General features: G+C 46.5%; 1 protein-coding gene across 174 annotated transcripts in view, besides 3 other annotated features; it reads left to right on the top strand.

The window, feature by feature from the left end:
* Nucleotides 788–1,349: an enhancer, noted in NCBI's record as "H3K27ac-H3K4me1 hESC enhancer chr8:142026737-142027298 (GRCh37/hg19 assembly coordinates)". NCBI's record gives its function as "activates a minimal SCP1, AML or CMV promoter by ChIP-STARR-seq in naive and primed H9 embryonic stem cells {active_cell/tissue: H9 hESC(naive and primed)}" and the evidence as "EXISTENCE:reporter gene assay evidence [ECO:0000049][PMID:30033119]".
* Nucleotides 15,908–27,861, top strand: part of PTK2 (protein tyrosine kinase 2) — a 344,180-nt gene continuing 332,226 nt past the window's right edge. For 155 of the 174 annotated variants that reach the window (NR_148039.2, NR_148038.2, NR_148036.2 and 152 more), the window contains exon 1: nucleotides 16,705–16,862. The gene's annotated coding sequence lies outside the window, so the exon portion shown is untranslated. Of the gene's footprint in view, nucleotides 15,974–16,704; nucleotides 16,863–16,982; nucleotides 17,108–27,861 lie in introns of those variants that run through there. The other 19 variants (XM_047422053.1, NM_001352710.2, NM_001387652.1 and 16 more) reach the window with 2 other exon arrangements.
* Nucleotides 16,271–16,690: a silencer, noted in NCBI's record as "silent region_19586". NCBI's record gives its function as "represses an Ori minimal core promoter by ATAC-STARR-seq in GM12878 lymphoblastoid cells {active_cell/tissue: GM12878}" and the evidence as "EXISTENCE:reporter gene assay evidence [ECO:0000049][PMID:35858748]".
* Nucleotides 16,711–17,040: a silencer, noted in NCBI's record as "silent region_19585". NCBI's record gives its function as "represses an Ori minimal core promoter by ATAC-STARR-seq in GM12878 lymphoblastoid cells {active_cell/tissue: GM12878}" and the evidence as "EXISTENCE:reporter gene assay evidence [ECO:0000049][PMID:35858748]".

Genomic DNA, 27,861 nt, shown 5'->3' with positions numbered 1-27,861 from the left:
AAAAAATACAAAAAAAAATTAGCTGGGCGTGGTGGCGGCACCAGTAGTCTCAGTTACTCAGGAGGCTGAGGCATGAGAATCTCTTGAACCTGGGAGGCAGAGGTTGCAGTGAGCTGAGATCACGCCAGTCACTCAACAAACACTGAATTCAGAATGTGGTAATCTACATTCTTAGCCAGGTTCTGCCCAGATCTCCTGCATTCCCCACGTGCCTCTGTGCTGATTTGCTGAATGCCACAAGTGAGTCATTTACCTTGCTATGCCTCAGTTTCCAACTTAGTATGATCATACTGGTTAGAAACACTGTAAGAAAGACTAGATATCATCTGCAGAGTGTTACTGTCTTTGGGGGGTTGGGTGCCAGGCATGTCATGCTGGGTGCAAATGACAGTTAAGAAAAATAAAAACATTCCCTGCCTTTAGGAACGCCCAGGGTAGAACCTAGGGGTGGGGAGGGGGCAAGAGAATAATTAAAACAAAGGATGACAGAGCTAGACATGGGGACTCTTTGGGAGCATAGAGCACAGCATTGCACCCAGACTGGGGAACCTGAGCTGGGGGCTTCCTGGAGGAAGTGACAACTGAGCAGAGTTGAGAAAGATGGGTGAGGAGGGCGGGCCAGGCCTAGGAATGGGCCAAGGGCCTTTGTTGCAGCGGGAGCAGCTTGAGCAGAGGCAGAAGAGCTGAGAGGGGTGGGAGATGACTTTGAGGGGTGGAGCTGAGAGTTTATGGGGGCTGGAGGAGGCGGCTAAAGCAGTGGGTAGAGGCCAGATTCAGAAGGGCCTCAGGGACCAGGGGAGTGGGCACTGGCACCCGCATGGGCTGCTGCTGAATGAGGGTTGAGTCGGTTCCAACCTGGTAACGGGAGCATGGGGACAGGATAGAGGGAGCCGAGCTAAGGAGCAATCGCCGATGGTTTCAGACCTGCCTGCGGAAAACTGCAGGGATGCCGGATCCAGCGTGAGATCATCCACACTCTCAGTTGGATTCTGCCTAGAACTCCAGTGCCCACACGGCTCTGGTGTTTATTTGCTGGATACTACAATTGAGTCACTTGCCTTGCTTCATTCAGTCTCCCCCTTTGGGTGACCATCCTGGTTACCAACACTGTTGACAAGTGATATGGTTTGGATCTGTGTCCCCATCCAAATCTCATATTGAAATGTAATCCCCAATGCTGGAGGTGGGGCCTGGTGGGAGGTGACTAGATCATGGGGGCGGTTTCTAATGGCTTAGCACTATTCCCTAGTGCTGTCTCCTGATTGAGTTCTCAGGAGATCTAGTTGTTTAAAGTTGTGTAGCATCTCCCCCCACCCTTGCTCCTGCTCCAGGCATGTAAGACGGCCTGCTTCCCCTTTGCCTTCCACCATGACTGTAAGTTTCCTGAAGCCTCTCCAGAAGCAGAAGCCACTTTGCTTCCTTACAGCCTGCAGAATCGGTATCTCTTTATAGCAATGCGAGAATGGCCTCATACAACAAGGATGCTGTGGGAACTAGGCGATGCGTCTGCCGAGTGTTAGGGTGTTCAGGGGAGTGGGTGCAGACTTTTCCCCTGTCATTTATTGGTAGCTCTGGTGCTCATGAACTCCTCCCAGCCCCGCTGCTAAACTATGTGCAGTGTTTGTGGGTTGTCACACACATTAATTATCTGGTGAAGGTTATAAACGACCACTTGCTTTAGCTAGATAACTTTCAAGAAAAGGGCTTAATCACTGTCACAGTTAAATGCAATAGCATAAAGCTGGAGAAGATGAGAAGGAAAATTGCTCAAGCTAAAGAAAAAATGACATTTCAGAAGAAGCAGCAGAAGTAGAGATGAAGACCAATTGTAATTTAAAGTGACAACAAGCCAGATGACATAATTGCTGGCTTCTGGGTTGTTTCATGTTAGAAGGAGGCAGGTACACACCAAGCCAGACAAGAGAACCTAGGGCAGGGGAGAAAAGGTTTGACCCTAGGCAGTCTCTTAACCTTGCTGTGCCTCAGTTTTCTAATCTATAAAATGAAATAATAATAACATCTAATACGTAAGTGACAATGAGAGAATGTGAACTCACATGCCTGAGATCTAATAGGTGCTCAAAGACTGTAGTCATGATCATTGAGATTCATGGCAGAGGAAACAAAAAGTAGGCACAGAATTAATCGGTGCTTAGAATGAATTTCATTTTGCTGGTCTAAGGTGGAGCTTTGTTTTAAATGGCCCTGTCTTATTTGTTTCCAAATCATGACAGTGTCATCTTATCAAATGAGATGGCATGTGGACAGACAATGGTATGCTTATAAATTAACAACAGGCTCTTGGTGGGGGGGAATCCTGATTTATGGTGTTTGTCAGTTTCCATAGTGTAAATATTTCCACCATGACCAATTTCAGGCTATCAATGTGACATTACTGAATGCAGAGTTGGGAAGAAGGAGGCATAGTAGCTCATTATTACGCAGTTTTATTCCCACCATATAGATAACCATAGACAAGAGCATAGGTAAGAGTACTTGTAGTAAAATAATTAGGGAGTGCCGAATTGTAAATATTTTTTACCTTCTTTTTTTTTTTTTTTTTTTTGAGACAGAGTCTCTCTCCGTTGCCCAGGCCCAGGCTGGAGTGCAGTGGTGCAACCTCAGCTCACTGCAACCTCTGCCTCCTGCGTTCAAGAGATTCTCCTGCCTCAGCCTCCGAAGTAGTTGTGATTACAGGCACCCGCCACCATGCCCAGCTAATTTTTGTATTTTTGATAGAGATGGGGTTTCACCATGTTGGCCAGGCTGGTCTCAAACTCCTGACCTCAAGTGATCTGCCTGCCTCGGCCTCCCAAAGTGCTAGGATTACAGGCGTGAGCCACCATGCCTGGCCACCTTTGTTTTTAATAGAATTTATTGTTTAAAAATGTCGGTGTTTAACAGTCGGGTCTCATGAGTCACCATAGCTAGCTCCAACACTTACCGCTTCATGCAGAGTACCTGGTGTGGAGGGCGGTACACAGTAAGAGCTCAATGTATGTCCATCCCTTTTCTCCAGCTCTGACATCATCTCACCGGCTATGAGGTGGGAGAAAAAGAGAGAAGAGGGGAACGACAGTGGAAGAAAATGCAAGAGGAACCACGGTAAGATGGAGCATGAGCTCAGTCTGGAAGGTTCTGGACCCTTCAGAGATGGAGAATTTCTATAAAATGAACTAAAGTGTGGATCCATGGGGGATGCTTGTCTCTTGTGGCTGCCTTACACCAACCCTCTTCCACCAGTATGAGACTCCCAGGGAGCGGACAGGACTCTTCCTCCCACTATAGAAACCCAGCAAGGATTCTCCTGCTCTCTCCTGGCAGCCAGGGCGTGGAACTACACCAGCCGATTGAATGCACCTAGGTGGAAGTTTCATTCTTGAGCAGTGATAGGAAGACAAGATCACTGAAAGAAGAGATTCCTGGGCGGGCATGGTGACTCATGCCTGTAATCTCAGCACTTTGGGAGGCCGAGGCAGGCAGATCACTTGAGGTCAGGAATTCGAGACCAGTCTGACCAACATGATGAAACCCCGTCTCTACTAAAAATACAAAAATTAGCTGGGGGTGGTGGTGCATGGCCTGTAGTCCCTGCTACTCAGGAGGCTGAGGCAGGAGAATCGCTTGAACCTGGGAGGTGGAGGTTGCACATGCCTGTAGTCCCTGCTACTCGGGAGGCTGAGGCAGGAGAATCGCTTGAACCTGGGAAGTGGAGGTTGCAGTGAGCTGAGATCGCATCACTGCACTCCAGCCTGGGTGAAAGAGTGAGCCTCTGTCTCAAAAAAAAAAAAAAAAGACCAGATTCCAGGTGGTATATGTGGCAGGGCAGGGGTTCTTCTAGAAGGTCCCCAATCTCCTGCTCCTCAGTTTCCCTTTGACTCACTGAGTACCCCCTGGCATCCTTCTGTGGCAGATCCTCCTGGGTGCTTCCTTAATTTCATTCTCTCCAATTTTTTTTTCTAATTTGTGATTTGCTGGCTAAAAGACTTCATTTCCCATCCTCTCTTAAAGCTGGTGTGGCCGTGTGAGCGGCTTCCTGCTTAAGGAATGTATACAAGAGCATTAGGTAGAGCCTTCGGGAAAGTGCAATTTGGCTCCTCCTCCTTCTTCCTTCCTGCTGCATGGAACGTGGAAGCAATGGCCGGAGCTCTAGCAGCCATCCTAGATCTTGAGATGATCTTGAGAATGGAAGTCATGTTTGGTGGAGCAAAAGCACAGAGTCTGGGGCTCTGATACACTAATGGAGCCTCCAGATCAGTTCTCTTCTTTCTGCCTCTGGGTTTTGTGTGACAGAATTAACCCCTGTATTTTCCCTATTGTAGTTGGGACTCTTAACCACAGCTGAAGCTAATCCTACTGATACACCTTCCAGTAAACCTCTTCTTGGGTTGGTTTCTGTAGCTAGCAGCCTTACTGACTCACATTCCATTTGTTCTCTCCTCCACAATCTCAAGCCCCACATTCTGGCAGGCCAAGTCTGGCCTGCCTTGTTAATGACCCAGCCAAGCCTGCCCTCCTCCCCAAAGGACATGTCATCTCACACTCCTGTGTCTCTACACATGCTGTGCCTTCTGCCAGGGATGTCCTTCCCTGACCTTGTCTACTTTTAACACTCAATGCAAACATCACCTCTGCAGCAATATGGCTTGGATGGCTTTGTGTCATAATTCCCCACCAGCCTGTGAGCAACCTGGGGTTTAGCATGCTGTGCAGCGATTCCTGGGGCTCAACACATGTGGCTTGAATGAGGGAATGAACATTATAGTCATGCGAGGCGATCTCAAGTGTTATAACTAGATCCATCAATCTCTTGCCCAGGCCTGCTGCCTACCTGGCTGTTTTCACGCATGGAAGAGATTTCTGTGCGTCACTGTGGCTCATTTCCTGCCATGAGGCACTGCTGTCCCTCATCCATTCCAAACACTGGTTCGATTTTGAATGGATGATGTGAGGCTTGAAGGTGTTTGGGACATTAACAATGTCCCTAAAAGCAACAGAATAAAGTAATGGATTATTACTCAAAGCAAAATAAATAAGTATCCATCCCTACTGATATAAATGACTGAACAAATCAACAAATATGGGAGAAGACAAATCTCTTATGCAGAAGAATCCCAAATTATTTATGTGGATACCCCGCCCTCACGGTGGGGGAGCATCACTCTTCATTCGTGAAGTATGGCTGCACATAGTGGCTTCTTCCAAAAGTGTACAGTTTTCAAGGGAGGGTGAGGAGGGTCACTATAAGTTGGAGAAACCTGACAGACACTACTTAGTGAACTAGGTCAACACCAACAGTCACAATTCAGGTCGATAGTATGTGCCCTTGATAAGATATGAGAATAATGGCATTTACTTCGGTGGTCCTCCTCCTGATAACCTATAATTCCAGACTTTCAATGGAAAAAATCAGACAGATTCCAATGGTGGCTCATCCTACAATAACATCCAACCAGTAGTCCTTGACACTGTCAAAAAAAAAACAACAAGAAAATTCTGCTGGGTGCAGTAGCATGCACCTGTAGTCCTAGCTACTTGAGAGGCTGAAGTGAGTGGATCCCTTGAGCCCAGGATTTCAAGGCTAGCCTAGGCCAGTTGCAGTGGCTCACGCCTGTAATCCCAACACTTTGGGAGGCCAAAGCGGGCAGATCACCTGAGGTCAGGAGTTCCAGACCAGCCTGACTAACATGGTGAAACCCTATCTCTACTAAAATTAGAAAAATGAGTTGGGTGTGGTGGTGCACACCTGTAGCTACTCAGGAGGCTGAGGCATGAGAATCACTTGAACCCAAGAGGCGGAGGTTACAGTGAGCCAAGATCACACCACTGCACTCCAGCCTGGGTGACAGAGTGAGACTGTTTCAAAAAAAAAAAAAAAAAAAAAAAAGCTAGCTTAAGCAACATAGCAAGACCTCATCTCTCTCTCTCCTTTTTTTTTTTCTTTTTTTTTTGAGACAGAGTCTCATTCTTGCCCAGGTTGGAGTGCGGTAGTGAGATCTCGGCTCACTGCAACCTCCACCTCTCAGGTTCAAGCGATTCTCTTGCTTCAGCCTCCCGAGTAGCTAGAATTACAGGTGTGTGTCACCACGCCTAGCTAATTTTTGTATTTTTAGTAGAGATGGGGTTTCACTATGTTGCCCAGGCTGGTCTTGAACTCCTGACCTCAGGTGATCCACCTGCCTTGTCCTCCCAAAGTACTGGGATTACAGGTGTGAGCCACCGCACTGGGCCTCATCTCTTAAATAAATAAATAAATAAAACGAGGAAATTCTGAGAAGTGGTCAACGCCAAGAAGAGACTTAGGAGACATGATGATTGAATGTCATATGGTGTCCTGGATGGGATCCTGGGACCGAAAAAATACGTTCGGTAAAAATGAAGGAAATACGAATTAATTATCGACTTTTGTTAATAATAATGTATCAATATTTGTTAATTAATTGTAACAAATGTATTTTACTAATGTAAGATGTTAATAATAGGGGAAATTGGTGTGGAGTATATGGGATCTCTGTACCATCATCTTGATTTTTGTGTAAATCTAAAACTTTTCTGAAAAGGTCTATTAAAAAGAAAAAATAATGTTCTCAAGACACTTGGGAGAGAAACAACAATAATAACATCTATTATTAATTGGGGGGCCCATAACTTCATATATGTTGCCAATTATCCTTTTTTATTTTTATTTTTTTCATTTTAACTGTTGTACAATATTTACCTCAGTCAATGATCTGCAGCAACTGTATGGGTAGGTGTCTCTATCAGTCAGGGTCATTTGTTAGCAATACAGGTAAACTCTGGCCAATTCAAGATAACCAGAAAGCGGAGGACACAGCACAATCCTAGAACTGAGGGACAGCAGCCAGGCAGCCCGGCCAGCTCTGCAGGAGCCATGCTGGTTCTCATGCGGGAGCTTGGGAGCACTGTCTCATGGAAATGCCTCCGTTCTGGTTGCCTTTTCTCTCTGAGACTCCAGAGTGGCATTTCTGGGAGAAAGTCAATGGCCCAGGAAGCTGGGTACCAACCTTGCCAACATCTCAAGTTGGGCCCACCCTTAGCCACCCTACTGGGCCCATGAAATGTAGGTGAGGCGTGTTCCTCAGGGAAGAGCGGGGTTCTATTACCAGAATAATGAGGCGAGGAGGGGATCTCCAGTATCCCTTCTCTTTCTACTGGCAACAAGCCCCCTTCCACTTCATGTCCCTGTGTTTTGGGTTGACTCTACCTCCAGTTTCAGGCCAGGCATAGAACCCGAGCCCGGCCAATCAAAGCCAAGGAGACTTTGGCTTCAGTTGCTGGAAAAGGCGCAGGCTTTTCTATATGGGAGGGACAGGATGGAAACTGTGTGGAGGGGGGCATTTTGTCATCACAAGGGGAGAGCTATGTGAGACTTGAATGTAAGGCTAAGAGATGGAGTGAAAGTCCTCAACAGATATGCCTCGGTCAGCCTGACTCTGACTCTGAAGTTTCAAGAGTGAGTCAGTTCCCTTTTTTTTATTTTTTGTAAAAATGTATGATTCAACGATTTGTAGTATATTTAGAGTTATGCAACCATCACCATTATCTCATTTAGCATGATATTCACGTTGCACATGGCAGTTGAAGGATATTTTGAAACATTCAACCATTGTCTTTGGATTTGCATACTGTATATGCAAAAGTTGTGTATATTATATGCAGGTATACAGATTTTGTACATGCAAAAGTTGTGTACATTATATACAGGTAGAAGTAACATGTGAAGAATGACACCAATTCTTGACATTGCTGACTAGAAAAATATTAAATATGAGAATGCAAATAATTTTGTTAAAATTTAAGCAAGATTTAATTATAATTTTGACATAAAATTTAAAAATTTCAACTATATTTAAATTTGATATAAAATTAATATATTTTGATATAAAATTAATATATTCGATATTAATTAATTATAGTTTGTACTTTTCATTTAATAGAAGATTTGGAATAGAAATACAGCCATAGAAGCAAACAGTTGTTTTGTAAACATATATGAAAATATTAATTTTTTATTGTTCACGTTACTATTTTGGTGAAAGCATATTCAAATATGTACATTTTGAACAGAATCAAGTCTTTTTTATTTTTTATGTTTTTTTTGTGTGTGCGTGTGTGACAGAGTCTCGCTCTGTCACCCAGGCTGGAGTTCAGTGGCGCAACCTTGGCTCACTGCAAGCTCCGCCTCCCAGGTTCACGCCATTCTCCTGCCTCAGCCTCCCGAGTGGCTGGGACTACAGGCGCCCGCCACCACGCCCGGCTAATTTTTTGTATTTTTAGTACAGACTGGGTTTCACCGTGTTAGCCAGGATGGTCTCGATTGCCTGACCTTGTGATCCGCCCACCTCGGCCTCCCAAAGTGTTGGGATTACGGGCGTGAGCCGTCGCACCCAGCTATTTTTTACGTTTTTAACTTTTTTCTTGAGATACGGCCTCACTTTGTTGTCCAGGCTGGAGTGTGGTGGTGCAATCTTTGCTCACTGCAGCCTCAACCTCCTGGGCTCAAGCGATTCTCCCACCTCAGCCCCCCGAGGAGCTGAGACTACAGGCATGTGCCACTATGTCATGCTAATTTTTGTATTTTTTGTAGAGACAGGGTTTTGCCATGTTGCCCAGACTGGTCTGGAACTCCTGAGCTCAATCGATCCGCCCTCCTCGACCTCCCAAAGCGCTGAAGATTACAGGCGTGAGCCACTGCACCTGGCCCAAGTCTTTTGTTAATCTTTCATTTATTTATTTTTTATTATTTTTTGAGATGGAGTTTCCCTCTTGTTGCCCAGGCTGGAGTGCAATGGTGCGATCTCGGCTCACCACAACCTCCGCCTCCCGGATTCAAATGATTCTCCTGACTCAGCCTCCCAAGTAGCTGGGATTACAGGCATGTGCCAACATGCCCGCCTGGCTAATTTTGTATTTTTACTAGAGATGGGGTTTCTCCATATTGGTCAGACTGGTCTCGAACTCCCAACTTCAGGTGATCTGCCTGCCTTGGCCTCCCAAAGTGCTGGGATTCCAGGCATGAGCCACAGCCCCCGGCCTTGTTAATCTTTTGAATTAATGCTGCCCACAGTTTGTTGCATGGAACTACAGCTGCTCTGCACACTGTTATCAACTCACAGCGGGAGAAGTACAGAGATTAAGAGTTTTAGAAACTTTCAAAGCAATTTGACAGAGTTGTTTTGAATCTAATAACAAAAATTGGCTCATGCCTGAAATTCCAGTACTTTGGGAGGCCGAAGTGGGAGGATCACTTGAGCCCAGGAGTTTGAGACTAGCCTGGGCAACAGAGCAAGACTCCATCTCTACAAAAAACAGAAAAAAAATTGGCTGAGTGTGGTGGCACATGCTGGTGTCCCAGCTAATCAGGAGGCCAGGGCAAGAGGATTGCTTGAGCCCAGGAGGTCAAGGCTGCAGTGAGCCATGATCATACCATTGCATTGCAGCCTGGGAAACAGGGCGAGACCCTGTCTCAAAAAAAAAAAAAAATTTAGGCTTGTGTTTAGTATGTCTTTACTATTTATTTATTTATTTCTCTGAGACAGGGTCTCTCTCTGTCGCCCAGGCTGGAGTGCAGTGGCGTGATCCTGGCTCACTGCAACCTCTGCCTTCTGGGTTCAAGTGATTCTCCTGCCTCAGCCTCCTGAGTAGCTGGGACTACAGGTGCATGCCACCACGCCCAGCTAATTTTTGTATTTTTGGTAGAGATGGAATTTCGCCATATTGTCCAGGCTTGTCTCGAACTCCTGACCTCAGGTGATACACCCACCTTGGCCTCCCAAAGTGCTGGGATTACAGGCATGAGCCACTGCACCTGGCCAGTATTTACTTTTTTAATTCTTCATTTCTAATTTTTAATTACATTTTACAAGAGTATGAGTCCACACAACATGAAAAGAAAGAACTGCTCCACACTACAGACAGTTTGAGAAGCATTGCTTTAGATCATTGAGAATTAGTACAAGTTAGGTGGGGTCTGGTGGCTCACACCTGTAATCCCACCACCTGGAGAGGCCGAGGTGAGACGATGGCTTGCGCTCAAGAGTTCGAGACTAGCCTGGACAACATGGCAAAACCCCATCTCTACAAAAGATACAAACACACACCTGCAGCCCCAGCTACTCGGGAGGCTGAGGTGGGAGGATCACTTGAGCCCAGGAGGCAGAGGTTGCAGTGAGCTGAGATTGTGCCACTGCACTCCAGCCTGGATGACAGAGCGAGATCCCATCTCCAAAACAAACAAACAAACAACCCCGAAAATACAAAAATGGAGCTCAGAAAAAACAAACAAACAAAAAACAAAGCTGAGAAGAAGAAAGAAATGGGAACTCTTCTGAGTGGCAGTCTGTTTAAATTTTACAAACTGGAAACAATGGAAGCCTTCTGTTGAACATAATTCCAACACAATTTGCAAGATTTGCAAAGAGGACATTTCTTTAATGAGGAGTTAATACTAACCAAAACAATAAAAAAGATCAAGAAAGGGAATTTTAGGCTGGGCATGGTGGCTCACACCTGTAATCCTAGCACTTTGGGAGGCAGAGGCGGGCAGATCACCTTAAGTCAGGAGTTAGAGACCAGCCTGGACAACATGATGAGACCCCATCTCTACTAAAATAGTACAAAAATTAGCTGGGCATGGTCGTGCATGCCTGTAATCCCAGCTACTTGGGAGGCTGAGGAGGCATGAGAATCACTTGAACCCGGGAGGCAGAGGTTGCAATAGGCCAAAATTGCGCCCCTGCACTCCAGCCTGGGCAACAGAGCGAGACTCTGTCTCAAAAAAAAAAAAGAAAAAGAAAGGGAATTTTATCAGTTCCATGACTGGAATCGGTTTGATGGCATCCCTGCAACTTCATGGTCTTTATAAAGTGAAGAATTTATGGCAGGGAGAAGCCCTGTGGGCCTCACCTAGACTCTCTTCCTAGTAGCCCTCAGGGCAGGCACGAAGACACAAGCCTGTTCCAGCAGGTGCTGTGGTGCTGTGAGCACCGTTTCAGAGCCAGACAAGCTGGGTTTGAATCCTGACTCTGCCCCTTACTTGCTGGGTAGACTGGAGCTGGATAGCCATCACCTTGTGGACTCAATTTACCCATCTGTAAAACATGCTTAGTAATACTTATCTAAGGCAGTTGTGAAAAGTAAAGGAGATAATGAATGATTTGGGGCAGAATTCCCCAGAAAATGTGAACACTTTTTCCCTCTAAAGGCTGTTGTAGGGACAGTAGCAGGTACAGAGTACTCGTTAGCTCTGGATGAACTGTGACTGGAGCCTTTGCTACCAGATCCAGAACAAAGGTGTATCTCAGGTCAGGAGGGTGGGGGATTGTCCCTGGCCTAGACCTGCTGAGCCTTGTGGAGGGGAGGATTTTCCTTCACACACAGTATTTTGAAGGAGGGGATGTGGGGGTGGGAGTGGGCTTCAGGCCCAGGCCAGGGAGCAGTATCCCTGGGACAGATCCCCACGGTGAGGTCCTGCTCTAGGCAGCTCAGCCTCCAGACAGGGCTTGCTCACTTCCACTCGGGGGAACTTGTGGGCACTGAGTATGGGTGAGACCTAGAAGAGGCCCTGTTACTGCCTCTTGTGCCACAGAGCCCTGGAACACCCTGGTGGGGTAAAGTGGGGGAGATCTATGTGAGCAGGAGGGGCTGGGATGCTCCCCAACCTAGGAAGAGTTGTTCCCACTTCCTCACAGGAGATGGGCACCCACTGCGGGAGCCCTCTTCCCCCTATCTCTGCATTCCTACATTACGTGTCTATGGAAAGTGAAATTTCAACTTGTAGTAAAACCTGCATAGAGGCCAGGCGTGGTGGCTCACGCCTCTAATCCCAGCACTTTGGGAGGCTGAGGCGGGAGGATTATTTGAGGTCAGGAGTTCAAGACCAGCCTGGCCAACATAGTGAAACCCTATCTCTACTAAAACTACAAAAATTAGCCGGGCGTGGTGGCGGGCACATGTAATCCCAGCTACTTGAGAGGCTGAGGCATGAGAATCGCTTGAACCCAGGAGGCGGAGATTGCAGTGAGCTGAGATTGTGCCACTGCATACCAGCCTGGGCAATAGAATGAGACTCAGTCTCAAAAAAAAAAAAAACAAAAAACAAAAAACAAAAAACAAAAAACCTCCATAGCCTAATTATCTTGTGAGCCCAGAATGTTCCTGAATCGTGACCACGGATTTGTTTTGCTCACTCCTGGGCAAGCTGTAAGTGGTGACTCTGTGGCCTCGGCAGAGGGCAAGGGCCCATTTGACTTTATACGGGACAGAATTTGGAGGTGAGAATCTGTCTTCAGCCCCCTCCTCTACCCCTGCTTTCCTTCTGGATGTCTTCCCTAGGGGCATCCCCTGCCCCTGACTTCTGCTCTTCCACTTTACAGAGGAGGAAACTGAGACTCTGGGAGGTTGAGCAGCCTGCTTGGAGCCATGGGGTTGTCACGTGGGGAGCTGGGATTGGAGGCCAGGTCTGTCAGACCCTTTCTCCATTCCGCCACTCTCCATATTCTTGAGGCCCAGCATGCCCTGGCGATGTAAGAGGCCCATAGCTCCCAGAAGCACATCTTACTGGATCAAAAATTACCCCAGGCACCTGTCCCCTGGGTCTCACTTTCTCTCATCCCAGCTTCTCCAGACAGATCTGCAGGGTGGTCAGCTGTGATGTGGGCAGGAACCTGGGCTTCAGTGTCTCTTCAGTGATATCAGCTTCCACGCCCCCATGACTGTGCATCCACCCCTGGCCTTAATGTGTGTTTCTGCTTCTCCAGCGTGAGTGAGCCCCTCCTGGGAGGGAGCCCTTAGCCGACCAGGGAGGTGGGGGGCTTTTCAAGGGGGAACTGCTCCCAGGCTCACTGCAGCTGCTCTGCCAACACACAGGAAGCTCTTCCTGAAAGCTTCCCACGCAAGGTCAGCGCTCACCCCATCTGGTGCAGTGCAGGAAGGGGAGAAGCCAAATTGTGTTCTCTGTTTGGTTTTTTTTTTTTTTTTTGTATGGGATATGAGTGCATCAGAGACTGCGCTGGGGAGAGGAAGGAGCACAGGCTTTGCAGTTGGACAGATGCAGCCTTGAATTCCAGCCCTGCTATCTGACTCATTGCTGCTGCTACTTCTTCTTTTTTTTTTTTTTTTTTCTGAGCAGTAGTTTTCTTTTCCTTTTTTTTTTTTTTTTTTTTTTTGAGATGGAGTCTTGCTTCTTCACCCAGGCTGGAGTGCAATGGCCCAACCTCAGCTCACTGTAACCTCCGCCTCCTGGGTTCGAGCAATTCTCCTGCCTCAGCCTCCCAAGTAGCTGGGATTACAGGCACGTGCCAGCACACCCGGCTAATTTTTGTATTTTTAGTAGAGACAGGGTTTCACTGTGGTTGGCCAGGCTGGTATCGATCTCCTGACCTCAAGTGATCCGCCCGCCTCGGCCTCCCAAAGTGCTGGGATTATAGGCGTGAGACACTGCGCCCAGCTGTCTGAGCAGTAGTTTTCAAATTTATAAAATGGAGGTGCCGATAATAGCGTCTACATCACAGGGTTGCTATGAGGTCTGGAGACAGCGTATTCAGGTTCTGACCCACAGAGACTGAGAGAAGTCAGCCTTCCTTGACTCTGTGCTCTGGTGGTCCTTTGCATACCCCTCCATCATCATGCAAATTATTAGTAATCGATAAAGCAATGCTATAGTCGATCAATAACACTTATATATGCTAAGCACCCTGCTGTTTTATGAGAATGGTTTGTTTCCTCTACAACCTAATTTTTTTTTTTGAGATGGAGTCTTGCTCTGTCACCCAGGCTGGAGTGCAGTGGCGCCATCTCCACCCACTGCAAGCTCTGCCTCCCGGGTTCACGCCGTTCTCCTGCCTCAGCCTCCCGAATAGCCGGGACTACAGGCGCCCGCCACCACGCTGGCTAATTTTTTTGTATTTTTAGTAGAGACGGGGTTTCACCTTGTTAGCCAGGATGGTCTCAATCTCCTGACCTCATGATCCACCCGCCTTGGCCTCCCACAGTGCTGGGATTACAGGTGTGAGCCACCGTGCCCGGCCTCTCTACAGCCTAATTCTAATGTACATCCTTTAGAGCCTCCATTTCACAGATGAGAAATTGAGGCTCAGAGACATTATACAACCTTCACAGGTTTATTGGTGAATGGTTAAACTTAAGCCTGGGTCTGTGCCAATGTTCATCTTACTCCTAAACCTGAGTTCTCAGGCACCACAAAGTGTGCCCAAGAGGTAAGACAAGCCACTGTTTCCTAGGTTTGTCCCTTTTCCCGTTTGTATCTCTGTTTGCCCTTCTCCTTTGCATCACTTCTTCCCGCCGTTTTCTGATTTCTTCTTTTACTAAGCATAATAATAACCAAAGCTGCCCTTCAAGAACGTCAATTTCAAATGTATCGTGGCAGAGTCCAGGAAACAATATTGTGTAACACACTACCCTAAAACCTAAAGGCTTAAAACCACATGTATTTTATTGGCTCACAATTCTGTGGTTTGGCAATTTGGGTTGGATTCAGCTGGGCAGTTCTTCCATCAGTCTCTCCAGGTCTTATGTATGCTTCACAGGGGCTGGGTGGTCTAGTACAGCTCACTCACATGTCTGGAGGTGGCACCTTGTTGGCCAGGGTGCCTCAGTTCTCTTCCACACGGCCTCCTCGTGAGGCTAGCTTGGGCTTAAGGGGGGAAAATGAAAGCAGCATGGCCTCTTGAGGCCTAGGCTTGGAATTTGTACAATGTCACTTGTGACACATCCCATTGGTCAAAGCAAGTTACAAGATCCCATCCACATTCAAGGGGTGAATAAATTCCACCTCTTCTTGGGAAAAGTGTCAAAGAATTGATGGCCATTTTTAGTCTACTATGCTAAGTGCAGCCCCTTCCCCCAAAGTTATCCTTAATGCAGTCCCTTTGTGCCTCCACTCTCCTCTTTTAATTCCCATGCTTTTCTTATCCTTTTAATAATAAGCTCTCACTTCACATCACCCAAAGCTTCGTTCATTCACTTGACAAATACTTACTGTGTGCCAGGACCTATTAGTGAACAAAACAAAGCCCGTGCTCTAATGAATCTAAGATTCTAGTGGAGAGAGCGGACAATCAAGAAATAAACAAGAACACAGTGTTGGGCTATGGTGAACAATAGGTGCTTTGGAGAACAACAGAGCAGACTAAGTGCGGACTGTGTGTGAGGATAGCAGGGCAGTGGGTGGTTCCTATTATATGAAGTGGTCGGCTGTATCAATGAGGTGATATATAAGCAGGGTATTGAACGAAGTGAGGAGCAAGAAGTTCCAGGCAGAGCAAATAGCACGCGCAAAGGCCTGAGGCTGGCATGGAGAGGCAATTCCTTACAATTTCATATGTAGTAAAAAGTAACAAAACCCAGAAAAACACCAACCTTAATACATCTCATTAAAGAACAATACAACCCAAACATTTAAATATGGTAAAATCTTGATAAGCAAAAGCTTTTTATTTTACTTCATTTTTACTTTTATAAAAGCTCCTAATGCAATGACGTGTGTCACCTCTCTGGGCTTCAGGGTGTTCACCTTTCAAAAGGCCTCGGTGCCTGTCTGTCCTGCTTCCTGGCTTGTGGTTAGCATCAAAATGACACCATAAAAATGAAAGTTGCAGCCTTGAGGGTTCTTCTGGTTTCATTTCCGACCACAAGGTTGCCAGAGTGACTTTTTTTTTTTTTTAAATAACACAAATCAGTTATCACTTCCTGCTTAAAGCCCTCCAAAGGTTCCCTGTTGCCTAAAGAATAAACTCCAGGCACCTAAGCAAGCCCCACGCAGCCGTCTGCATTTTTCAATCCCTCCAACCTCGCCTTTTGCTATTTCCCCCACCCCACCTACGGCACGTTCCGGTCATAACCAACTAGCTCCTCGCTGAAACTGGCTCACACCGCGGAAGCCCGGGTCGGTGTCGGGGCGAGCCTTCCCTCCTTTTCCTGGAGCCCGTCTCAGGTCTGTAGCCCTCGGGAGGGATTGCAGGGCTCGTTCCCTGCTGGCGTTCATTTAGGTAACCTGTCTACCTCCAGTGGACTTCTAAGTCCCTTTCATGATTTTTCATCTTCCAAAATCAAATAATGGCCCAGCCCAACTTAGCTATAATGCCATGAAAAGAATCTCTGAGCCTCAGTTTCCTTGTCTGCAAAAAGGGCCCAGGAACCGCTCGTTAGGGTCGGTGTGGTGCCTGGAGAGTGCACTGCAAGGCCCGGGGCCCGCAGCGGGTGCCCGACAGCGGGCGTCCAACTCTGGGGGCGGGGCCGCAGGGCCGCTCAGGAGGGAGGTTCTCCAGAGGGGACCCCTTCGGGATTTGGGGGCAGGGAAGGAGATGGGGAGGACTTTCCCGAAGTCCGTCTAATCCCGCTGGCGGAGAGCGAGGCAGGTGGGACCCCAGGATGTCCGCTCGGCGGGGCGACCCCGGCCACCCCCGAGACCAGGGCTTTCCTCGTCCGGCCGCCACGCCCGCGCGCAGCCTCGGGCCACCCCGAAACCCCGGCGCGGTCACTACAGGACAAATTACGCGAGCAGAGCCTAGCGGCGCGCTGGGCATGCGCGGGGGCGGCGCGCATGCCCAGTCCCCCCGAGAGGCGGGAACTCCGGACTGAGACCGGGTCGGGCGTGCGCTGCCGAGAGAGGACGCGCGCCTCAGCCGGCTGCCGCGCACGCGCGCGGGCCCGCGCCGACGCAGCACGGCCTCGAGGGCGCGAGCCCGCGCCGCCGCCGCCGCCGCCGGTCCCGGACCACTGTGAGCCCGCGGCGTGAGGCGTGGGAGGAAGCGCGGCTGCTGTCGCCCAGCGCCGCCCCGTCGTCGTCTGCCTTCGCTTCACGGCGCCGAGCCGCGGTCCGAGTGAGTGCGGGGCGCCGGGCGCGGGGCGCGGGTCGGGGGCTGGGCGGGCTCCTTCTGTGCAGCGGTCGTGGGCTGGGCCGCGGCCCTGAGGGCGGAGGGGCAGAGCGGGGCCGCCCAACCAGTCCCGGGGCGGATGCGGCGGAGACCGGCCCCTCCCGCGCCCCCGGCCCGGGTTCTGGGAGGAGGGGAGGCCGGTGGCCGTGAGGAGGTTGGGGGCCCTCGCGGAGGCCGAGAGGCTTAAGGAGGTCAGGGGGCGCGCTGGGAGGCGGGGGTTCGGGGCGCTGGGTGGTCGGGAGGCTTGGGGAAGACTGGGAGGCTGAGGGACGTGGGGAGGCCGGGAGCTCGAGGAGGTCGGGGGTTTTGGGGGCGCGCGGGGAGGCCAAGGGGTTCGGGGAAGACAGAAAGGCTGGGGGACGTGGGGAGTCCGGGAGACGTGAGGAGGAAGGGGGGGGCGGCTTTCGAAAAGGCCGGGCGCGCGGAGAGGCCGAGGGGCCTGAGGAAGACGAGGAGGCCGGGGCTCTGGGGGCGCGCAGGGCGGACAGAGGCGCGGGGAGGACGGGCCGGCCTCCGCCGGAGCGGACCCAATGCCTGAAAAACAAAAGGGGAGAGGCAGGAGGAGGAAGAGGGAAATCGCAGGGACGTCGGCAGGGTTCGCCCGGACGCGAGAGGGAGGCTCGCGACGGCCCGACCTCCGTCCCCCGGGCGCGGCCTCGCGGGCAGCCAAGGGTGGGCTCCGAGCGGCCTGCCGGTGCCCGAGCCCCAAGCCCGCCGTGTCCCCGAACGCAAACCCTCAAGTTTGGTAGAGCCCCGTGGGCTTCTTGGCGGGAGCCCTGGAGCCCTCACTGAAGTCCTCACTGGAGTCATTGTGCTTCCCAAGTTTTCTCCTCTTCCCCGCCCCCAGCCCCCGACTCTGCCGCGGTGGCTTAGGCGCAACTGTTTGCCGAATTTCTCTCTGGGTTCCTTGTGTAGCGGCATCCTGTTCTTTCTTAGAAGAAGGGGTGTGTGTGTGTGTGTGTGTGTGTGTGTGTGTGTGTGTGAATTGGTTTCATTTAATTGCAGAATTTTGTAGCTAAATTCAGTGAGGGTAAAGTTTCTTTTTTTTTTTTTTTCCGAGTCATTTCAACAGTGTCTCATTCTTGCATAGTTAGCCTGCAGCTGGGTTTTTGGCAATGAGACTAAGATAATAGTAATATTGTAGTAATTATGGGAACTGGTTATACATTCAAGCTGAAAGCTGAAGGCAGTGCAAGAGTTTGGGGATTTGTATTTAAGACTTAACCATCGCTAGGATTTTTACTTAGAATGTAAACGTTTTCATGGCTGGAAAAACAGACCAGTACTATTTGAAATGAAATACCAGAGCCTCAACCTTAATATTTTATTTGGGAAACGGGTAATGAAAATGATGTCTTCGAGAGTTGAGCACTCCGTCCCATATTTGAAAACTTATGAGCAGTGCGATGCAAGCACACGGATGAACTAGTTACAAGACACATAAAAGTAAACTAGCATTCAACGTATTTTTGTTGGGGTACAGTATAGATAATATTTTCATCCAGTTATACTAGCCAATTAATTAGAAAAGCCCTATGATATTCAAACAAGGAACATTTTAAGGATGTTTGTGTCCCAATATCTTTGTGTTTTGTATTTGTGGTTATCCTTGGTGGGGAAAAACAGGCTGAACCTACCATCATTTTGAACCTTCTTGTTTATTAAACTGCAGAAACAACAAGATCAATATTACAAGGTTTTCCTTTAAAGAATTTCAGGTCACTATCAAATAATCTAGTTTAATAATGAACACAGGCACAGATTATTTAAAACACATGCTTCCTTTATAAGGGAGCCGACAATCACCTAAGACTTCAGTGTAGACGCTGATTAGAAGGACCCATACATCATTCAGTGGTGATGCATCAAGAAGCAAGTCATTGGTTAAATAAAGACATGGAAATCAAAACTCCATGTTTACGGTTTGGGGCAAAGAATACTGGGGCAAACTCTGAGAGGAGATGGGACTTAAAAAGCCTTATTATTTGAGGCTGGAAGCCCATTGAAAGTGAATAATGTTAGATTAGGAGTGAAGTTCCATGAATCCAGCAGTGAAATTGTGAGGAGGCAGTGAGGATCATTAAAACGTTTTATACTAAAATGTTTTCTGAAAAGCACCATGCTTCTTGATGGAAATTACATAACTTACTCCCTCAGTCCTCAAAATCATGTTCTCCAGCTAGTCAGATAACTGTTCTTTCTAGGGAGTTGGAGAAATTGTCTAAGAAAATAGTTTTTTTTTTTTTTTTTTTGAGACGGAGTCTCACCCTGTGGCCCAGGCTGGAGTGCAGTGGTGCGATCTCGGCTCACTGCAAGCTCCACTGCCCGGGTTCATGCCATTCTCCTGCTTCAGCCTCCCAAGTAGCTGGGACTACAGGCGCCCGCCACCACGCCCGGCTAATTTTTTGTATTTTTTAGTAGAGACGGGGTTTCGCCGTGTTAGCCAGGGTGGTCTCGATCTCCTGACCTCATGATCCGCCCACCTTGGCCTCCCAAAGTGCTGGGATTACAGGCGTGAGCCACTGCGCCTGGCCTGAAGATCCTGTTGTTTTAAAGGTAGCCTCTTTAAAAAAAAAAGATTAGGTCCTGTAGATGAAATTATTTATATTGTATTCTATAATGTAAAAAATAATTTTGAAAACTGTCCTTTCCTGAATGTTGATTTGAGTTAGAGAGGTAGGATCTTAGTTCATATCTCTAAAGGTTATGGAAACCTTTTTCCCCTTGTATTTTATGATGTCTTAATTTTTAGAAAATAATTAAAATTATCTTGAGTTACAAAAGATGCATTTCAAAGTGTTTATAAAGTTTCAGTTTTGAAATTTAACATTTTCAGTTTAGGCATTCTAAACTGATGTAGATTTAGACCTAGATCAATTCTTGTTTTAAATTTCAGTAACATTAAAAGTTATACTGTTTGTATCATATTTGAAGTGAATTTTTCTTTTTTGCTGGTGAAAAACATCTGAGAAGTTTAGTTCCTGTAGTATAGGCATATCTTGGTCTGTTTCTAGACCACTGCGATAAAATGAGTCACACAAATTGGTTTCCCAGTGCATATAAAAGTTAGGTTTACACTATAGTAAGTGTGCAGTAACATGTCTAAAAAAGCAATGTACATTTCTTTTTTTTGAGACAAGGTCTTGTTCTGTCACCCAGGCTGGAGTGCAGTGGTGCAATCATAGCTCACTGCAACCTGGTCCTCCTGGGCTCAAGTGATCCTCCCACCTCAGCCTCCTGAGTAGCTGGCACTATACGTGCATACCACTACTCCCAGCTAATTTTTACATTTTTCGTAGAGATGGGGTCTCCCTATGTTGCACAAGTTGGTCGTGAACTCCTGGGCTCAAGTGATCCTCCCACCTTGGCCTCCCAAAGTGCTGGGATTACAGGCATGAGTCACTGTGCCCAGCTAATGTACATGACGTAGTCAAATACTGTTGATCATCTGAGCCTTCAGCAAGTCATAATCTTTTTGCTGGTGGATGGTCTTCCCTCAGTGGTGATGGCTGCTGACAAATCAGGGTGGTGGTTGCTGAAGGCTGAGATGTCAGGCAGTTTCTTAAAATAAGACAACAATTAGGTTTGCCACATCAGTTGGCTCGTTCTTTCATTAAAGATTTCTCCAGAGTATGTGATGCTATTTGAAAGCATTTTATCCACAGTAGAACTTCTTTCAAAATTGGACTCAATACTCCTAAACACTGCCATTGCTTTATCAATCAGTGTATGCAATATTCTAGATCCTTTGTTGTCATTTCAACAATGTTCACAGCATCTTCACCAGGGGTAGATTCCATTTCAGGAAACCACTTTCTTTGCTCATCCCTAAGAAGGAACTCCTTATCCGTTCAAGTTTTATCATGAGATTGCAGCAATTCAGTCACATCATCAGGTTCCACTTCTAATTCTAGTTCTCTTGCTATTTCTACCATATCTGCATTTACTTTCTCTACTGAAGTCGTGAATCCCTCAGAGTTATCCATGACGGTTGGAAGCAAGTTCTTCCAAACTCCTGTTCATAATGCTATTTTCACCTCCTCCAATGTGTCATGAATGTTAATGGCATCTAGAATGGTGAATCCTTTCCAGCATGTTTTCTATGTACTTAGCCCAGATCTATCAGAGGAATCACTATCTATGGCAGCTATACCCTTATGAAATATATTTAAGACTTAAAAGTCAAAATGTCTTCTTAATCTATGGGCTGTAGAATGGATGTGGTGTTAACAAGCATGAAAACCTCATTGATCTCTTTGTACATCTCTCTCAGAGCTCTTGGACAACAGGTACTTGGCCAATGAACAGTAATATTTTGATAGGAATCTTTTTCTGAGCAGTAGATCTCAACAGTGGGCTTAAAATATTCAGTAAAACATGCTGTAAACAGATATGCTATCATCCAGGCTTTGTTATTCCATTTGTAGAGCACAGGCAGAGTAGAATTAGCATCGTTCTTAAGGACCCTGGGATTTTCAGAATGGGAAACGAGCATTGGCTTCAACTTGAGATCACCAGCTGCCTTAGCCCCTAACGAGAGTCAGCCCATCCTTTGAAGCTTTAAAGCCAGGCATTGGCTTCATCTCTCTGGCTATGAAAGTCCTAGATGGCATCTTCCAATAGAAGGTGGTTTCTTCATTTAAAATGTGTTTAGTGTAGCCACCTTCATCAGTGATCTTAGCTAGATCTTCTCGATAACTTGCTGCAGCTTCTCCACCAGCACTTGCTGCTTCATCTTGCACTTTTATGCTGTGGAGATGGCTTTTTTCCTTCCACCTCACGAACCAACCTCTGCTAGCTTCCAGCTTTTCTGTAGCTTCCTCACATCAATTTACAGAATTGAAGAGGAGGAGCTTTCTCTGAATTAGGCCTTGTTAGGCCTTGGGTCAAGGGAATGTTATGGCTGGCTTGATCTATCTGGACCACTAAAACTTTCTCCATATCAACAATAAGGCTGTTTTCTTTTCCTTTGTTTTGTTTTGTTTTGTTTTGTTTTAAGAGACACAGTCTCACTCTGTCACCCAGTGGCGCGATCTTGGCTGACTGCACCCTCCGCCTCACGGGTTGAAGTGGTTCTCGGGTGTCGGCCTACTGAGTAGCTGGGATTACAGGTGTGAGCCACTGCACCCGGCTAAGGCTGTTTTACTTTCTTATCATTTGCGTGTTCACTGAAGTAGCACTTTTAATTTCCTTCAATAACTTTTCCTTTGCATTCACAACTTGGCTGTTTGGCACAGGAGGCCTCGCTTTTGGCCTATCTTTTTTATTTTATTTTATTTTATTTATTTATTTTGAGACAGAGTCTCGCTTTGTGCCCCAGGCTGGAGTGCAGTGATGCAATGTTGGCTCACTGAAACCTTCTGCCTCCTGAGTAGCTGGGACTACAGGCATGCACCACCATGGCCAGCTACTTTTGTTTGTTTGTTTTTTTAGTAGAGACGGGGTTTTGCCGTGTTCCGCAGGCTGTTCTCAAACTCCTGAGCTCAGGCAATCCGCCCACCTTTTCCCAAAGTGCTAGGATTACAGGCATCACCACTGTGCCCGGCCCTATCTTGGTTTTTGACGTTTTTTCTCACTAAGCGTAATCATTTCTAGCTTTCGATTTAAAGTGAGATAGGCGGGACTCTTCCTTTCACTTGAACACTTTGAGGCCATTATAGAGTTTCTTTTCTTTTTTTTTTTTTTTTTTGAGACGGAGTCTTGCTCTGTCGCCAGGCTGGAGTGCAGTGGTGCGATCTCGGCTCACTGCAACCTCTGCCTCCCAGGTTCAAGCGATTCGCCTGCGTCAGCCTCTGGAGTAGCTGGGACTACAGGCACGTGCCACCATGCCTGGCTAATTTTTTGTATTTTTAGTTGAGACAGGGTTTCATCATCATGTTGGCCAGGATGGTCTTGATCTCCTTATCTTGTGATCCACCCACCTCGGCCTCCCAAAGTGCTGGGATTATAGGAGTGAGCCACGTGCCCGTCCTTTTTTTTTTTTTTTTGAGACAGAGTTTCACTCTTGTTGCCCAGGATGGAGTGCAATGGCGAGATCTCAGCTCACCACAGCCTTTGCCTCCCAGTTCAGGCGATTCTCCTGACTCAACCTCCTGAGTAGCTGGGATTACAGGCATGTACCACCACACCAGGCTAATTTTGTATTTTTAGTAGAGATGGGGTTTCTCCATGTTGGTCAGGTTGGTCTTGAACTCCTGACCTCAGATGATCCTCCCACTTCGGCCCATTATAGAATTAGTAATTGTTCTAATTGCAGTATTTTTGTATCTCAGGGAATAGCAGGCCACAGGAGAGGGAGGAGAGCAGAAGAGACAGGGGCCCAGTAAGTGGAATAGTGGGAATGCACATGTTTATAGAGTAAATGTGTATCTCATGTGGGTACAGGTCATGGTCCCCCCAAAACAACTACAGTAGTAACATCGAAGACCACTGATCATAGGCCAGGTGCAGTGGTTCACATCTGTAATCCATTGTTTTGGGAGGATTGCTTGAGGCCAGGAGTTCAAGATCAGCCTGGGCAACATAGTGAGACCCTGCCTCTAAAAATAAAAAGAGATCCCTGTTCACAGATCACCACAACAGATGTAATAATAATGAGAAAGTTTGAAATATTGTGAGAATTACCAAAATGTAGCACAGAGACTCAAAGTGAGCACATGCTGTTGAATAAATGGCACTGATGACTTGCTCGATGCAGGGTTGCTGCAAATCTTAAGTTTTTAAAAACTTTTTAGTAAATGCTGTTAATTGTAGCTTGATTTGCATAAATACTCTAATGAAATGGTTTGTAGACAAAAGCAGGAAATAGTTGTTTTTGCCTTAGTGGCACTGTCCTCCCCCTTAGCAGTTGGAAGCCTCAGAGAGACACTAGTAGCATCACTACAAAGTTTACATGTTTTTAAGAACATGAAAGTATTTCCTTACAATGTTTAATTAAATTTTATTTAATTGAAATCCTACCCGAATCTTACTGATATACATTTTCTTTACTATAAATTCACTTTTTTCAGAAACAGATAAATGACAAAAATCATACCTTTGGGTGGGGTGCGGTAACTCACACCTGTAATTCCACCACTTTGGGAAGCCGAGGTGGACAGATCGCTTGAGCCCAGGAGTTTGTGACCAGCCTGGGCAACATGGCAAAACTTGGTCTCTACAAGAGATGCAAAAATTAGATGAATGTGGTGGCGTGTGCCTGTAGTCCCAGCTACCTGGGAAGCTGAGGTGGGAGGATCACTTGAGTCTGGGAGGTCGAGGCTGCAGTGAGCTGAGATTGCACCATTGCACTCCAGCCTGGGCGACATAGTGAGACTCTGTCTCAAAAAAGAAAAAAAAGTCATGTTTGTGGGTTATCTGTGCCTAGGGTCTCTTTTTTGCCCTCATATTCTTATTAAAATTCCTGCATTTTGGGTTTGGATTCTGCTGTGAACTGTAGGTGCTTGTTGTGTCTGTGTCTCTCTTGACCAAAACACTATATGTTTGTCTTTGTTGGTCCAATGAAAGAGCTTAACAGTTTTATGTGTTACATATTTTGTAGTAAAATGTGTGTTGTCTTGTGAGAATGTAAGCTCCACGAGGGCATAAACTTTGTTTTATACATTATTGAATCACCAGTGTCTTACACAGTAATATTTATTGAATGAGTAAATGAAAGAACCCAGGTGTATTGATTATTGGAGAACTGTTACTTGCATCAGCCAGGTGTTTACTGTTTTGTTTGCCCTGGTAAAGAACGTCACTTAAAAATCACATAGGGGCCAGGCACGGTGGCGCATGCCTGTAATTCCAGCACTTTGGGAGGCAGAGGCCAGCGGATCATCTGAGCTCAGACTCACATAGGGCTTGATACCAGGGAAGAACTTGGAGTTATCTTTTTCACCTTTGTCTACTGTATTTAAAATTACTACTATCAGACTTGGGCCAGGAAAAAAATATTGCTCTGCTCTTTCATAATTTTGGAACTTTTTTTCTAGAAATCAATCTTGTAGGAATTGATTGGGACTCATCCTAAGTTCTGAAGACATGGAAAATTGTTTGAGGTGACACAAAATGATGGAAGTTTTTATTACTGATCCAGAAGCTCTAATGTACCTTTTGCTAATCAACTGGATTAATTGGATGCTTTACAAAGGTTTAACATTATGCCCCTAAACCATTTAAAAGAACAAACGTCTTCTTAATGTTGAAGTGTGAGTTATGCACTGTGCCGCTCATCCTTGACCTTGTTCAGAGTCTTTTGCTGCTGTGCTGCTGTTCAGATAAAACATTTTGAAAGTGACAGTTCAAAATACATTCACTCAGGTAATGGAAGTCAACATTTGGGTACAGAATCTCTCCCTGAGATTTTGCAGTTTGCCTCTCAGTGAATTCCACCATAGTCTTGCTATAGTGTGAGGGGGTAACTCATTCACACTGTTCACGCACACGTTCCAGTAAGCTCCAGGGGCTTTCAGTGGTTTTCAGAGTAGTGACGGAATTGTAGCATCACTATCATCTAGAAACTTGCTAGAAATGCAAGTGCTGAGGCCCTACCTCTGGCCTCTTGAATCAAACACTGAGGGTGGTGTTCAGCAAGCTTTTTTATTTTGTTTTGTTTTTGAGACGGAGTCTTGCTCTGTGGCACAGGCTGGAGTGCAGTGGCACTTTCTCAGCTCACTGCAACCTCTACCTCTAGGGTTCAAGCAATTCTCCTGCTTCTGCCTCCCAAGTAACTGGGACTACAGGGGTATGCCACCACGCCCAGCTAATTTTTGTATTTTTTTTTTTTTTTTTTTCCGAGATGAAGTCTCACTCTGTTGCCCAGGCTGGAGGGCAGTGGCGCAGTCTTGGCTCACTGCAACCTCTGCCTCTCGGGTTCAAGCAATTCTCCTGCCTCAGCCTCTTGAGTAGCTATGATTACAGGCGCACACCACCACACCCGGCCAATTTTTGTATTTTTGGTAGAGACGGGGTTTCACCATGTTGGCCAGGCTGGTCTCAAACTCCTGACCTCAGGTGATCTGCCCACCTCTGCCTCCCAAAGTGCTGAGATTATGGGCATGAGCCACTGTGCCTGGCCTGTTGTTTCATTTTTTTTTGTTTTGTTTTTCTTTGAGACCGGGTCTTGCTGGAGTGCGCGATCACAGCTCACTGCGGCTTCGACCTCCCAGCCTCAGGTGATCCTCCTGAGTAGCTGGGACTACAGGCGCATGCCACTACGCCTAGCTGATTTTTGCATACTTTGTAGAGACGGGTATTTACCATGTTGCCAGGGCTGGTCTTGAATTCCTGGGCTCAAGCAGTTCTCCCACCTTGGCCTTCTGAAGTGTTGGGGTTACAGGCATGAGCCACCATGCCTGGCCTCGCAAGGTTTTTAAACTTGCCATCTTGGTGCTTTGATGCATGCTAATGTTTGTGAACCACTGCTTTAGGGTGTTTTGAAAGAAATGCAAGTCATAGGAGGCAAAAATTAGTCTTAATTTGAGGTATGTGTATGTTGTCTTCTTGACCACTTAGATTTGCTAAGGAGATTGCCCTCACTTCAGGAATCTAAATATGTTTTTTAGGATTTTCAAAATCTTGGAAAGATCTCAAAACTGCTTTTGTTAGGGATTTTGAATGTTTTATGCTAATACTGATTAATTATTTTTAATCTTGGTTTGGAATTTGAATGAACAATTTTACATTGAAATAGCAGTTTGTATGGCTCCTGGACTTGTGGCTTTTGGCAAATATCAGGAGAGTGTGTGTACATGTTGGTGCTTAAGGCACAAGCTCCCTGGTGGTTTTGTTTTGGTGCTGAAAAATTGGCTAGCATATAATAACAGGGTCAGGGTGATTGCCAAGTCTTGGGGTAACTAATGAAGCTGTATTGTGTGAATTGATTTTTATTCCTGGTGTTGAATTATTGCCTAAATTCAATACATTCTTTTGCCTTTTGCTCTTTTCTCCTAAGAAAAGGGTAAATAAAAATTAGACAGTCCACAAGGATGAAGTTGGTGATGTCGCTTAAATCTGTTATATCTTATGCAGAATTAGACGCATAACTTGGCAGACAGAATGTTGTGAGCTCAGAGATGAGGATTCTGTATTATCTGTTAGGTATCTTTGAGTCCCCCACAGCTTGATCATAATATCATTATAGGTGGTCAGTAAATAATGTAAGGAGTGAAAAAGAGTCTCCCGTCCATTCTCTGGGTTTTCAGCATGTTGATAATTGAGGAATATAGATATGTGAAAGCCCCGTAAAGAGTTTCAGGAAAGATCAAATATCTGAAGGGAGGCAATTAGAAAGACTAAAATGACTTTATTGTATAGTCTTTGTTGTAAAGGGTATTTAAGTATATGAAAGTTAACAAGATAGAGAAGAAGAGTAGGGATAAACAAAATTAAAATAATGTAATCTAAAAACAATGAGAAGGATGTTTCCACATGAATTTCCTACTGTGATCTTTCACTCAACTGTGCAGCTCAATGAAAGCAAAAATAATAGAAATGAGATGGTGGGAAAATCGACCTGGAACAATTTCTTCTTGAGACAATTTGTTGGCCTGGCATGTTGACTCACGCCTGTAACCCCAGCACTTTGGGAGGCCAGGGTGGGAGGATCACTTGAGCCCAGGAGTTTGAGACTAGCCTGGTCAACATGGTGAGATCTTGTCTCTCCCAAAGAATATAATAATAATAATTAGCCAGGTGTGGTGGTACATGCCTATAGTCCCAGCTATTCAGGAGGATGAGGTGGGAGGACTGCTTGTGCCTGGGAGGTCAAGTCTACAGTGAGCCATGATCACACCACTACACTCCAACCTGGGTGACAGAGGGAGACCCTGTCTCAAAATAAAAAAAAAAAAAAATTGGTCAAGGAGAGTTAAAGTTATAACTTATAGTCAGTTATATTCTGCGATGACCATTAAATGTACTTTTAAGAGTGCTTGGCCTGTAGTAGCTTTTCAGGAAATGT

The sequence above is a fragment of the Homo sapiens genome, chromosome 8 (assembly GCF_000001405.40).
Source record: "Homo sapiens chromosome 8, GRCh38.p14 Primary Assembly".
Taxonomy (NCBI): domain Eukaryota; kingdom Metazoa; phylum Chordata; class Mammalia; order Primates; family Hominidae; genus Homo; species Homo sapiens.
Note: the sequence above shows the minus strand (reverse complement) of the source record. Positions and strands in the feature narration are given on the sequence as shown.